Source organism: Homo sapiens, chromosome 11 (genome assembly GCF_000001405.40).
Source record: "Homo sapiens chromosome 11, GRCh38.p14 Primary Assembly".
In the NCBI taxonomy this organism is placed as follows: Eukaryota; Metazoa; Chordata; class Mammalia; order Primates; family Hominidae; genus Homo; species Homo sapiens.
Window position 1 is genome coordinate 122901918 of NC_000011.10, and position 15341 is coordinate 122917258.

Here is a 15341-nt window from a genome sequence, read left to right on the forward strand (position 1 = left end):
CTGAGACACAAACACACACATTAGTCTAGGCCCACACAGGGTTCGAATCATCAATATCACTGTCTTCCACGTCCATACCGTGTCTCACTGGAAGGTCTTCAGGGGCAGTAACACATACGGAGCTGTCATCTCCTAGGATAACAAGGCCTTCTTCTGGAATCCCTCCTGAAGGACCTGCCTGAGGCTGTTTCACAGTTAACTTTTTAAAAAATAAGTAGGAGTGCACTCTAAAATAATGATAAAAAATATGGTGTAGTGGCTGGGGACGGTGGCTTGCACCTGTAATCCCGAAACTTTGGGAGGCTGAAGCGAGTGGATCACAGGAGGCCAGGAGGTCAAGATCAGCCTGGCCAACATGGCAAAACCCTGTCTCTACTAAAAATTAAAAAAAAAAAAAATTAGCCCGACATGTTAAAACATACTTGTAATCCCAGGTACTCAGGAGGCTGAGGCATGAGAATCACTTGAACCTGGGAGGCAGAGGTTGCAGTGAGCCAAGGTCACACCACTGCACTCCAGCCTGAGTGATAGAGCAAGACTTGTCTCAAAAAAAAAAAAAGTATAGTATAGTGTATTAGCCTGTTCTTGCATTGCTGCAAAGAAATACCTGAGTGAGACTGGGTAATTTATTTAAAAAAAGAAGTGTAACTGGCTCACAGTTCCACAGGCTCTACAGGAAGTATGATTCTGGCATCTGCTTGGTTTCTAAGGAAACCTCGGGAAACTTACAATCATGGCAAAGGCAAAGGGGGAGCAGGCCTCTTACGGCAGAGCAGGACCAAGAGAGAGGGTGGGGAGCTGCTATGCACTCTTGAACAACCAGATCTCACCATAACTCACTCACTACTCAGAACCAAGGGTGGATGGTGCTTGCTAAGCCATTCATGAGAACTCTGTCCCCATGATCCAGTCACCTCCCACCAGGCCCTACCTCCAACATTGGGGATTACAGTTCGACATGAGATTTGGGTGGGGACACAGATCCAAACCATATCATACAGTAAATACAAAAGTCAGTAACATAGTTGTTGATTATCATTATCAAGGATTATATGCTGTATATAATTGTGTGTGCTATACTTTTATAGGACTGGCAGTGCAGTAGGTTTGTTTATACCAGCAGCACCACAAACATATGAGCAACACATTGTACTATGATATTCCAAGGGCTACAGCGTCACTAGGTGACAGGAATTTTTCAGCTCCATTACAATATTGTAGGACCTCAGTCGTATATGTGGCTTGTCCTTGACCAGAACATTGTTAGTCAGTGTATGAAATGTATTACCAGCCAAAGTGTGAAACATAGTTTTATCTTCACCAGCTGAAATACTGAGTCATTGTTGGTGTACGTAAGTAATCGCATTCATTGAACCACAGTGATTATTTGTTTAACATTATAGATATCTGTTTTTCAGTTGTCTTCTGACACTTAGAAATTAATTGTCCCCCATTTTTATTCCATATTTCAATGAACTTGGATAATTAAGGCCTTTCGCCCTTATGTGTAGTGTGTGGGTCTAATTTGGGCCTGGGATCTGTCTTTATGTTTATTAATCAATTAATTTATTTATTTTAAGAGACAAGGTCTCACGCTGTCTCCCAGGCTGGAGTGCAGTGTCGTGATTATAGCTCACTGTAGCCTCTAACTCCTTAGCTCAAGCAATCCTCCCACCTCAGCCTCCTGAGTAGCTGGGACTACAGGTACGACACCATACCCAGCTAATTTTTTAAAAAAATTTGTTGTAAAGATGGAGTCTCGCTGTGTTGCCCAGGCTGGTTTTGAACTCCTTGCTTCAAGCGATCCTCCTGCCTCGGCTTCCCAAAGTGTTGGGATTACAGGTATGAGCCACTGCACGCTGCTGGGATTTGTGTTTAGCATACAGATAATAAAAGGAAAACTATAGGAGAAAGACTGAGATTGATTTCAAATAAAATGTTCAACTGACTATAATGAGTGAATTTATTTCAACTAAGGACTTGGCATTTCTCTTCTGCTTTGGGCAGGCAACAACCAATAGAAGACAAATATTCAGACCTCCGCTATGACCCGAACTGGAAGAGTAAGAAGGAGGAAGGGCAGCTGCTGTCTGTGGAAGCGTTGCCGGAGTCCACGGACAGCTCTTTAGAAAATCTGCCTTTGGCTCCCCTCTACCCTTCCCAGGAGACGTCAATGGAACTCTCCGGGGGAAAAGGCGAGCAGAAAGAGAGTCCACAGAGTGCAGCTTCTTTACTTGGTAGTGAATTTTTAAGCCCAAACTATGAGCATGGTGCCCGTCGCAGCAAGCCGTTTTCAGAGCTGAGCGACAGTGACCTGGAGGAGAAGTCGAGCAGCCTTTCTCCGTACGTGAAGAGCTCAAGTTCACATAACGAGGTTTTCCTGCCGGGATCACGTGGCCCTCGGCGAAGGAAATCCAAACAACATTTTGTGGAAAAAAACAAGCTCACTTTGGGATTACCCACCCCGAAAACGGACTCTTATCTTCAACTTCACAATAAAAAAAGAGGGGAATCTCATCCAGAACAGGTACGTAGTGGCTACTTTAAAATGTCTTCTGAAACATTAAACCAGAATTTGCGTTTGTTTGCAGTGTCTAGATATCGCTTCCTTTAAGATGACGATGTCATAGCAGCCACCTAGCTGGGTAAAACAAACGCTTCCATAGGCTATCCTGTATGTTTATGTTTATTCCATAAATTCTTATGACCAAAATAAAAGCCACCAATGGTTTACAGTGTAATTGCTACAAGTCGATTATTGCTATAAGTCAATTATTATATCCAAAATTGCTATAATTGCTATAAGTAATTATAAGTCCATTGTTATGTCAGTTATTATATCCGAAATTCTCCATTCAAAGAAATCTGGAACTTTTTAAAACTGTGTTTTCCAAATGATAAAATATAGAACTTAAGCATTTGATTCCCTGTGTTGATTTCCTTTGTTACCACCATAGCAGAGGTTTTCAACCCTGTTAAATGCCCCAGCACATTGTGGGTGACATGGAACATGCCCCAGCTCACATACAGAAGCGATTCTCAACTCAGATTCTGTATACATATTGGGCGGTCGGGGAGTGGGTAGGGTACAACATAAGGTGGGTTTTTTTTTTCAATCTTCAGATGTTTCTATAAACCCCATTGAAAATCACATCATTTGTTATTGTCCTGTGTAAATGATATGATATGATTAAACATTAGTCTCTTTATTTGTAAAATTGGGACAGTAATAAATGCCTTCTCTTCCTCATCAGGTCATTTTGAGAGTAAATTCTCTCCCACGTGATGGATTCAAAACCTTTTGGAGCCAGTAAACTTAGTTCCATTTCACAGGTGCACATAAAGACCTTCCTGCCCACCTCCTATGGACATGTCCAGGGATACAGGACAAGAGTGGGGTTAGAATGGTAGAGTCCACCACTCTTACTGGAAAGAGCTTGAGATTTATCACCTGCTAATGTGAGGTCATTTTCAAATACAAAGGAGAGGTTATTATGTTAAATGTGGTTGCCCTTAGACCTATTCCAAATCCCAACTGGTATTTTTTTTTAACATATTCTAACCTGTTCTAACCTCTAAGCATTTTCTAATGGAACAAAATAGATGAGGTGGATGAACATTTGTGGCTTTTCTTCAGAGACTCCCTTTTTTGTCTTAAAGAATTACGTCTGGTGGCACGTTGGCTCATGCCTGTAATCCCAGCACTTTGGGAGGTCGAGGTGGGAGGATCACTTGAGGCCACGAGTTCAAGACCAGCCTGGCCAACATGGTGAAACCCATCTATACCAAAAATACAAAAATTAGCCGGGTGTGGTGATGCACACCTGTAATCCCAGCTACTCGGGAGGCTGAGGCACAAGAATCGCTTGAACACGGGAGGCAGAGGTTGCAGTGAGCCGAGATGGCGCCACTACACTCCAGCCTGGGTTATAGAGTGAGACTCTGTCTCAAAATAAATAAATAAAAATAAAAAAAGAATGATGTCTGGTGAAATTTGGGCCTAAAAATATTTTAATTTAAAAATAAAAATAAATAAAATTCAAAAAAAGAATTATGTCACATCTTTGCCACTGTAACTAATAATTAAATGAAATAGGTGTAGTATATATAGCTGAAGTATTTAAAAAACTAGGTGAATTCAAGCAGTTTTTAGTATTTTTACCCAATTTTAGATGTTAGTATACTCTTGTTCCATAAAACTTACATGAAATTTTGAATTTTGCTTGATTGCTCATTTAAAAATGAAAATAAATTCAACAGTCCAATATCTTTGAAAAAAAATTTCTTTTGAGTCAGGGTCTGGCCTTTCACCCAAGCTGGAATGCAATCGCACGATCATAGCTCACTATAACCTCGACCTCCTGGGCTCAAGCAATCCTCCTGCCTCAGCCTCGGCGAGTAGCTGGGAACACAGGCATGCACCACCACATCTAGCTAAATTTGTTTTTAAATGTCTTTATAGAGATGGGGGTCTCATCATGTTGCCCAGGCTGACCTCAGACTCCTGGGCTCAAATGATCCTTCTACCTTGGCTCCCAAAGTGTTGGGATTACAGGCATGAGTCACCATGCCCAGCCTGAAAAATGTTTATAGCCAGTAATTTATCTCAAACTAGGACAATATTTTTCATTATTAAAAAGTGTTCTCAAAAGAAGCTGATCCGGAAGGAGAACATTTGGGGGTTTTCTTCATTCAGAAACTCTCTTTTTAGTCTGAGGTCAAAAGAAATAGTTTTATTTCCAATAATAAAAGGGAAAAATATTTATTATGAACTCTTTAATTGTTGATTTATTAATCGCTATTTTTGTTAGTAGTTATAAGTTAATTTACTAAACAATTTTAGGGTGTATTGATTGTCAGTGATTCCACAGCTGAATTTTCTTTTCTTTGTGCCATGGAGGAAACTTTCTTTAAGCTCTTATATTACTCTCTGAAGGGGCCATTGACTTTTCCCACCACTTTCTCCAAGTTCAAATATCTAAAGGCTAATTGTATTTAAAATTGTTCCTTTACCATTTTCCAATATATATGTACTTCTTCTTGCTCCTATTATTTTTTTAAGAGATGACTCCTATTATTTTTTTGAGACGGGATCTTGCTATGTTGCTGGAGTGTAGTTGCTATGCAGGATTCGATCATCACACACTGCAGCCTTGAACTCCTGGGCTCAAGTGATCCTCTTGCCTTAGACACCTGAGTGACTGGGACTATAGGTGTGCATCACTGACCTGGCTTCCTATTACTTTAAAAAGAATAGAGATGAGTTTGACCTAACAGTGACATAATGATATGTGTAACTTAGTGAATTCTAGTCAGTAGCATAAACTGATGTGTTTTTTTTTTTGAACCGTTATTCATATGTAGACGTGTGTGTGTCTCTCCTCCCGATACAGATTATATGTTCCCTATGGGTAGGAGCTAGGGTTTGTGCTCATTTTTAATCTTCATAGTCACTAGCCTAAGACACTGAAAAGGCTGAGTAAACATAAGGGAAATTAAAAATGTATCTCTTCCATCACCTCCAAACTGTCTACTCTTTATTATAACTTGAAGTTTATATGGGGGGAATGGCATTTCTAGAGCAGTAGTTTGCTAACCTGGCTAGATATCAGAATCACCTGAGAATTTTTAAAAGTGATTTTTTTGACCAGGTGCGGTGGCTCACGCCTGTAATCCTAGCACTTTGGGAGGCCAAGGCGGGCAGATCCCCTGAAGTTGGGAGTTCGAGACCAGCCTGACCATCATGGAGAAAACCCGTCTCTATTAAAAATACGAAATTAGCCTGGCATGGTGGAGCATGCCTGTAATCCCAGCTACTCGGGAGGCTGAGGCAGGAGAATCGCTCGAACCCAGGGCGGTGAGCCGAGATTGCACCATTGCACTCCAGCCTGGGCAACAAGAGTGAAACTCTATCTCAAAAAAAAAAAAAAAAAAGGTGATTTTTTTTTTTGCTTCACTCAGACCAATTTAAATCTCTGAGAACCTGAGCAACAGTTTTTCTTTTTTGTTTTTTTTATAAAACTCCTTGAGTATTTCTAATGTGAAGCCAGGTTTGAGAAGCATTGTTCCAGAATAGAGCAGTGGTTCTCAGCCTTGGTTTCACATTGGAATCAACTGGAGAATTTAAAAAGTATTGATTCCCTAGATGAACCACTGAAATTCCAGTTCAGCTCATCTGGGTTGCACTCTAAATATGGGGAGTCCGCCACACTCCCCAGGTGATTCTAATATTTAGCCAAGATTGAGAATCACCGATCTAGAGCAGTGGTTCCTAAACATTAGAGTGCACCAGAATCATCTGGAGGGCTTATTTAAAAAGCTTGATGGACCTCATCCCCCCAAATTTCTGATTCAGCAGGTGTAGGGTGGGACCCAGGGATCTGAATTTTCTGCATGGCCCAAGGTGTTACTGCTGCTGCCATCAGGCCTACACTTTGAGAACCACTGATCTTTTCCTTCTCACAATTTAAAGTGCTTATGAACCACTTTAGATGCTTGTGAAAATACAGATTGTGATCCAGTAGGTCTGGGGTGAGATGCAGAGTGTGCATTTCTGACAAGTTCCCAGGAGATGCAAGGCTGGTGGTCCATGGACCTCACTTTGATGAGCAAGGGGCTAGAACAGAGAACACAAAGGTTTTATCAAAATCTAAAAGTCAGAGTTGAATAAGTCATTATCTACAGAGCATTGATGTTTTCCATGGCTGATAGGATTATTCAGTTGATTTGTGGGTAGGAGGCGGGAAGCTTGGGTACCGAGTGTGGAGGCTCTTGGTTTGTTTTGTTTTGGTTTTTGTTTGAGACAGGGTCTCACTCTGTCGCCCAGGCTGAAGTGCAGTGGCACTATCTCAGCTCATTGCAGCCTCCGCCTCCCAGGTTCAAGCGATTCTCCTGCCTCAGCCTCCAGAGCAGCTGGGATTACAGGCACCCGCCACCACACCTGGCTAATTTTTGTATTTTTTGGTAGAGATTTCAGGAAATCCTAGAAATCAGTAAGAAAAAGACCAAATTCCAAGGAAGAATACACAAAAAGTATAAATGAACAATTCACAGACTGTTCCTCTCATTACTCTTAATTTCCAGAGCTTTCTTTATTATCCTTGCTTATTCACAGATTGTTCATTTATACTTTTTGTGTATTTTTCCTTGTTAATAAAAGTTAACAAAGAAAAGTTAATATATATGGCTATTACACATATAAGAGGTTACTCAGTCTCAGCCTATTAGAGAAATGCAAATTAATACTATAACGGGATTCCATTTTTCAACTACAATTAAACTATCAAAATTCTTTAAGTTTAATGACCCTGTGGGCAAAAAATACGGTCAAGCTGGTGAGAGAATAAATTAGTATAACCAGTACGGAGGACAATTTGTTAATATCTACTTAAAACACAAATATACTCCTTGAGAAAGTAAAACATAATGGCCAAGAGTATGGACTCTGGAGCCAGGTTGGTTGGCACTGCCACCTGCCAGCTCGGTGACGCTCTGCAAATTACTAAACCTCTCTGTGCCTCAGTCTCCTCATCTTTAAAATGAGGACAGTAATAGGACTTTCCTCATAGGCTTATTAAGAAGATTAAATAAATGAGTTAGGCCACGTAAACTCAGCATTTTGGGAGGCCAAAGCGGGCAGATCATTTGAGGTCAGGAGTTTGTGACCAGTCTGGCCAACATTGTGAAACCCATGTATATTAAAAATACAAAAATTAGCCGAGCATGGTGGTGTGTGCCTGTAATCCCACCTACTTGGGAGGCCAAGGCAGGAGAATCATTTGAACCCAGGAGGCAGAGGTTGCAGTGAGCCAAGATTGCGCCACTGCACTCCAGCCTGGGTGACAGAGCAAGACTCCATCTCAAAAAAATAAATTAAATAAATAAATAAATAAATGTATAGAGCGTGCTAAGATCAGTGACTGGCCCATAGCAAGTATATAGGTATACATATAAGTATAAAAGTGTTTGACATTATTTTTATTTGACCCAACACATTTTGCACCTAGTAATTTATCCTAGATATTCGTGTGCAGTTTTGAAATCACATCTGTACAAAATTGTTCATTTCAGCCTTATTTGTAATAGCAAAAGATTGGAAGCCACCCAAATATCTGTCATTTGGGGAGTAAATAAGTTATGGTACATCCATACGGTAGAGTACACTGCAGCTGTTAAAAAAAAAATAAGGACACTTTCCATGAACTATGAGGGATAACTTACCAGGATTTCTTATTAAGAAAGAAATTCAAGGTGCAGTATGTTAAAAGTGGAGAGGGGCCAGGTGTGGTGGCTCATGCCTGTAATCCCAGGACTTTGGGAGGCCAAGGCAGGTGGATCACTTGAGGTCACAAGTTTGAGACCCGCCTGACCAACATGTGAAACCCTGTCTCTACTAAAAAATACAAAAATTAGCCGGGCATCGTGACGGGTGCCTCTAATCCCAGCTACTCGGGAAGCCCATGAGAATTGTCTGAGCTCGGGAGGCAGGGTTTCCGTGAGCCAAGATCGCACCACTGCACTCCAGCCTGGGCGACAGAGTGAGATTCTTGTCTCCAAAAAAAAAAACCAAAAAACAGTGGAAAGGAATAAAAATATATATTGTATTTTCATGGCACGCATAAGAAATTGTGGACGGCTACAAAAGCAGTTAATTGCAAGAGGTGGAGGGGGAATGGGCGGGAGCACAACTTTTTACTGTGTACCTTTTCAAATCTCTTAATTTTGAACCATACTTATGTATTATCTTTTAAAAATTAAAATGGAAAAATAGCAACAAAAATAGGAGGAGACATTTATAGTATAAATTTTGTAGTAACCCTTATAACTTCACACCCCTGATTGCTAACCTCCTAAATTGCATTTTATGCTTGTAATTAATGGCTTAGGGTAGAACTATTGATTTTTAAAGTCAATTGTTCTATAGTCTTTTTGCCATTTTGCATAGATCTGCTGATTGTACATTAACATACATTGGAAAAATCACCTTTGAATACATGACAAAATCTTAATCACATGATGTGTGAAGCGAGGAACCGATGTAAAAACCAACACACACTAGAGGGCACCTAAGTATCACGGTCAGGCAGTAACTTTGCTGGTGAATAATCAGTTCTTACTTTTATTCATGATTTGTTCACTAGCCTAAAGTATTTGTCTGAAACTCATTCCACTTTGAGTCCATTTGTAATCCACCGTTAAAGGAAACTGTGTTTTGAAAAATCAACTACCTTTCTATCTTGATTCTAATGTTACTTTAAAGACTGATGAAGGTGAAATTTAGTATGGGTTCAGAAAAGAGTTAGAAATGCTCTATACATGTTATTTGACTTTTTCCTTGTAATTTCTTGGAAAGAAATTACAGATAGTTTACAAATGTGATATGGTTATTGAATGGCCTATAGTCAAGACAATATAAAGTCACAAACAGTTCACAGTCCTACCTTCAATTAACACATCTTTGTGGCTGTTGCTGAGACAGCAGGTCAGTCAGCCAACAGATATTTATTGAGCACCAAATATGTATTAAATATGAGGTACTCCTCTCAATGCTGGGATATTAACAGAAAACAAGAGAGGCAGAGCACCTATCTTGAAGGAGTTTACATTCCAGTCATACGGCAAAGATAAGAACCATGTAACAAAATAATTTCAGATACTGATAATACCTCAAAAGAGACTGAATAAACTGTATTTAAGAAAGTGATGAGACTGAGCGTGGTGGCTCACTCCTATAACCCTAGCACTTTGGGAGGCCAAGGCAGGCAGATCACCTGAGGTCAGAAGTTCGAGACCAGCCTGACCAACATGGAGAAACCCCATCTCTACTAAAAATACAAAATTAGCTGAGCGTGGTGGTGCATGACTGTCATCCCAGCTACTCAGGAGGCTGAGGCAGGAGATACGCTTGAACCCGGGAGGTGGAGGTTATGGTGAACTGAGATTGCGCCATTACACTCCAGCCAGGGCAAGAAGAGCGAAACTCTGTCTCAAAAAAAAAAAAAAAAAAAAAAAAAAAAAAGAGACAAAGTAATGAGAGAGAATAAAGTCCTTTATTTAATAAAGTGATGACTTTAATAAGTAAACTGGGGGTTGGGCATGGTGGCTCATGCCTGTAATCCCAGCACTTTGGGAGGCTGGGGTGGGCGGATCACCTGAAGTCAGGAGTTGGAGACCAGCCTGGACAACATGGTGAAACCCCGTCTATACTAAAAATACAAAACTTAGCTGGGCCTCGTGGTGCGCACCTGTAATCCCACCTACTCAAGAGGCTGAGGCAGGAGAATCACTTGAACCTGGGAGGCGGAGGTTGCAGTGAGCCGAGATCTCGCCACTGCACTCCAGCCTAGGTGACAGAGTGAGACTCCATCTCAAAAAAAAAAAAAAAAAGGTTAAACTGGGATGTCTAGCCAGGTGCTTGGGGAAGGTCTCTCTGAGGACGTATCATTCAAGTGGAGGTGCGAATGGATAAGAAAGAGAAAAGTATGCAAGATCTAGAGGAAGAGCTTTGGTTGGCCCCATCCCTGGTAGCAGCATTTTTGCTAGGGAACAACGAAATATTGGAGAAAAACTAAAACCAAAACAAAATACTGATTTGAGAGTCAATCATGGATTAAATCCTGGCTCTTCAGCATAGCCCGTATTAGCTCAACCTCGTCTCCACCAAAAAATGCAAAAGTTAGCTGGCCATGATGGGGCACGCCTGTAGTCCCAGCTACTCCAGAGGCTGAGACAGAAGGATCACTTGAGCCGGGAGGCCGAGGCTGCAGTGAGTGGATCTCACCACTGCACTCCATCCTGGATAACAGAGTAAGACTCTGTCCCAAAAAAAGAGAAAAGAATTAAGATTAAGAATAAATAAAAATAAACCTCACCTCACCTTCCTCATCTATATATGGAGGAAGCAAACAAGGAATATAAATATATATCATATATATATATTTCTGCTTCGGAGGGCTATTTGAAGAATTTATACCAAGCTACGGACTCGGGGCAGACACTCAGTGAAGAGAAGCTATCGTTACCACTAGGCACTCCTTACACCAGGGAGAAGATTCCACCCAGGGAAGAGGCCCTTCTAACCAGCTCTCTCTTTTTTTAAGGCTGCATTGCCTCAAAATGAAAGAGATATAACTTCAGACAGAGTAAGAACAAAGTGTAGGCAAAACAATAACGTTCACACGCCCTAGGAGGCCATTCGATGGTGAGACTCTCAAAAGACTGCCTGCAAAGGGGGCCTATCCAGGCACACCCCACACTCGCCATGCTCTCTTGAGGGTCCCCGGTCAATCAAACACTGTCCTAGGGATTACAGAACGCTACAATCTTGTATGCAACTAGTTGACAGTATTTAACAATTGCATGTGGTCTCAGATACTGTTTCAAATATTTACACTTTAAAATAAGGAATTTATTAATAACTCGGGATCATGTATTTGGTACTTTAGTTTTGAAGTACAATTTCATAGGGTAATTCTTTCAACATTGCTTAATGTGACGCCATGTTACCTTCAAAATAAAACTCAAACTCTGAGTGGTACGAAAGGCCCTTCCTGACCTGGCTCCTTCCTGCTCCTGTAGCCTCATCCTTCATCAATCCCTACTTGTGTCAAATGCCTGGCCATACTCCAGGAACTCACAGAGCCCAGACCCGGCATTTCCTCTAGCCCCTTCCTTGTTCATGCTCATGGGCTACTCTTGCCCTGGCTTGTTTGCTTAGGAAAACCTTATCCTCCTTTTGAGATTCAGCTCATATGTCTCTGCCTTTGTAAAGGCTTTCTGAAGATCCTCCTTCCAGTACCTCCCTCATTCCTGAACATCTCCTGCAGAACCCGTAACCCCACACTGCACTGTCTGCATCATGTAAAGATGACTGTCTACTCCTTAAGATCATGAACTTGTTCATCTTTGAATTCCCAGATCCTGGCATACAGCAAGCACTAGCTAAATATTTGATGAAGAAATGTAATTTTTAAATACTTTTCCTTTGGTTCAAAATTTCATTGTTTTCAAAATGAAAAAATAAAAAAGCGGAGGGGGATTAACAAGAACTTGTGCTGTTAAACACTGGAATTTGAAGTCAAAAGACCTGATTTGAGTCCCATTTGGAGCCATTTATTATTTTGGCAAATCACAAACTCTTACTGAGTCTTCTTCTTCCTCATTAAAGTAAAATTACAAATGTTTGCCTTATATCACAGACTCAGAATTATTGAGATGATCAAATGAGATATGCAATGTGAAAGCTTTTTATAATCTTACAGCCTTATATAAATATAAGTTATATTTATTATTGAATGTTTGGTTTAAATTTACGTCTCCTAATGTGGAAGGTTGCCACCTAAAGGATATATTGCTCTTTTTCATAGTTTTAAATTTAGTGAAACTTTTGGTTGTCTATAAGATTAAGCTTTACCTTTATTTAAGTTATGGTCATTTTTTTGTAATTATATTTGGTTAGAAACATAGAATTATCTTCTTATAGGATTCTTCAGATGGGTGGTGTTTTTGTTTTGTTTTGTTTTTTTGTTTTTTTTGTTTGTTTTTTTGAGACAGAGTCTCGCTCTGTAGCCCAGGCTGGAGTGCAGTGATGCGATCTCCGCTCACTGCAACTTCCGCTTCCCTGGTTCAAGCGATTCTCCTGCCTCAGCCTCCTGAGTAGCTGGGATTATAGGCGTCTACCACCACGCCCGGCTAATTTTTCTATTTTTAGTAGAGATGAGGGTTCACCATGTTGGTCAGGCTGGTCTCGAACTCCTGACCTCATGATCTGCCCGCCTCAGCCTCCCAAAGTGCTTGGATTACAGGTGTGAGCCACCACACCCGGCCTGGTGGTGCTTTTGAGTCCCACCTATCCTATTATACTTGTAAGAATTATTCTTCTACAGAGTAGGAACTCTATAGATGTTCATCGATTGATACATTTTCTTATTTTGCCCTCTGCTATTACTACAAGAGCACTTACTTATGACAGCATAATTTCAGTTGAACTTTATGATTTTTTTCAATACGAGCCATTTTTAAGGCCTCTTTCTTGTGTGCACTGTTCAACACTTAGCTGCTTAAACTACCAATTTGTATGATCTATAGAGTGACACTTCATTAATTTGACATTATTGAAGAGGGATCCATAAGAAAAAAAAATTTTCCACATAACCAAAGCATGCCCCTTTGAAAACCAGAAATTTAACATAAATTTCTATCATTTTTAAGGATAGTTTTCAGAATGTACCTGGCATACCTGATAATTCTATGCTGACTTACACAGGTCATATTGCACCGTTCTGTAGTAAAGTAAAAAGCTATGGCAATGTGATCGCTTCTTTGCCTCTTTGTTAAATGACCCAGACTGCTATGAGCCCGCGGTCATTTTCTGCTGCTGTCTGTATCTGCTCTTAAGGAGCTTATGGCAGAATGGGAAGCAGACATGTAAACAGTCAATACCAAGTGAAAACTGCTATGCTAGTATCAGATAAGGTCCCCAAGAAACCCGGAAGAAAAGGTGCCTGACTGTCCAGGGAAGTCAGAGGGGGCCTCACACAAGAGGCAATCATGGAACTCATTCTTTAAAATGAAAAAGGGTATTTTTTTTGTTTTTATTTTTGTTTGTGTTTTTTGAGACAGAGTCTCGCCCTGTCATCCAGGCTGGAGTGCAGTGGCACCATCTCAGTTCACTGCAACCTCTGCCTCCTGGGTTCAAGCGATTCTCCTGCGTCAGCCTCCCAAGTAGCTGGGATTAGAGGTACCCGCCACCATGCCTGGCTAAGTTTCATATTTTTAGTAGAGGCAGGGGTTTCACCATGTTGGCCAGGCTGGTCTTGAACTCCTGACTTCAAGTGATCCACCCGCCTCAGCCTCCCGAAGTGATGGGATTACAGGTGTGAGCCACAGCACCCAGCCCTAAAAAGAAGAAGTTAACAGGTGGAAGTGGGTAGTTAGGGCACTGCAGGCAAAGGGGGCAGGGGCAATGGCATGAAGTCGTGAAAGAACACTAAGTAGAAAGCTGTCAGTACAGAAAGAACTTCTATACTGCTGGTCAAGAACTGGTAGTTGGTCAATTAAATCAAAGATTTCATGGAGGTAAAAGGCAGAATGATAGTTACCAGAGGCTGGGAAGGGTCTCGGGGGTAGGGAAGATGAAGAGAGGTTGGTCAGTTGGTAAAAACATACAGTTAGATAGAATGAATAAATTCTAATATTCCATAGCAAAGTTAGGTGACTGTAGTTAGTAAAAATGTGTTGTATATTTCAAAATAGCTAGCAGAGAGCATTTGAGATGTTCCCAACACAAAGAAATGATAAATACTCGAGGTGATGGATACCCCACATATCTTGTTCAATACACATTCTGTACATATAACAAAATATCACATATACCCCATAAATATGTACAAACATTATATATTAATACAATTTTGTTTTAAATTGGTTAAAGCAGGTATGAAAAATGATAACTATATACCGTAATTACTTGACTTTCACTTAACGTATATAAATATACACTAATTCACCAGTTTTTTTACCAAGGGGCCAAGGTCTTTTCTACCAGTGCAGATTCTATTGGTTAGAGTTTCATTGTTTTTCTTGCATCAGTTTGAGAGCATCTATGATTTGCAGTTTTGATTTCTTGATAGCAAAGTACAAACTTAAAAAACCTTAAGAAACAATTTAAGAACATAATTTCTAGGTGTGTTTTGGTTTTTTGTTTTTTGTTGTTTGTTTTTTGTTGTTGTTGTTTGTTTTTGAGATGTAGTCTCCCTCTGTCAACCAGGCTAGAGCGCCGTGGCATGATCTTGGCTCACTGCAGCCTCCACCTCCCAGGTTCAAGTAATTCTCATGGCTCAGCCACCGAGTAGCTGGGATTACAGGCGCCTGCCATGACGCCCAGCTAAATTTTGTATTTTTAGTAGAGATAGGGTTTCGCCCGGCTGCTTTCAAACTCCTGGCCTCAAGTGATGCTCCCACGTCAGCCTCCCAAAGTGCTGAGATACAGGCATGAGCTACTGCACCTGGCCATAATCGCTAGGTTTTTGTGAATGCTTCCCCTAATCTTTTATAGTTCCCCCCACCCCCAACATGTTATTTTGCCATTTGCTTTATTGGGTCATTCTAAATCATTTAACTAAGTTTTCATGAATATAACAACTCTCTATTCATGCTCAGATTTCTTCAGATTATCTAATCTTTAAATACATTTCCTAATTTTAACAACAGGTACAATAGGAATAAACAGGTTTGGGAACAAATGGAAAAGACTCTTGGTAAACATACAACTCAACAAGTGGAAGTAGAAGTACCAAGGTGTACTAGAGAGAGCCTAGCAGCCGTAAGCATTTAGCTATGGC

General features: G+C 40.6%; 1 protein-coding gene across 5 annotated transcripts in view; it reads left to right on the forward strand.

Annotated features, from left to right (window-relative positions):
- JHY (junctional cadherin complex regulator) overlaps positions 1-15341 on the forward strand; it is an 81104-nt gene that overhangs the window by 19159 nt on the left and 46604 nt on the right. For 4 of the 5 annotated variants that reach the window (NM_001363089.2, NM_024806.4, NM_001363087.2 and 1 more), the window contains exon 3: positions 2008-2527. In NM_001363089.2, the coding sequence (NP_001350018.1) occupies positions 2008-2527 (520 nt within the window). Of the gene's footprint in view, positions 1-2007; positions 2528-3254; positions 3994-15341 lie in introns of those variants that run through there. The other variant, NM_199124.3, reaches the window with a different exon arrangement.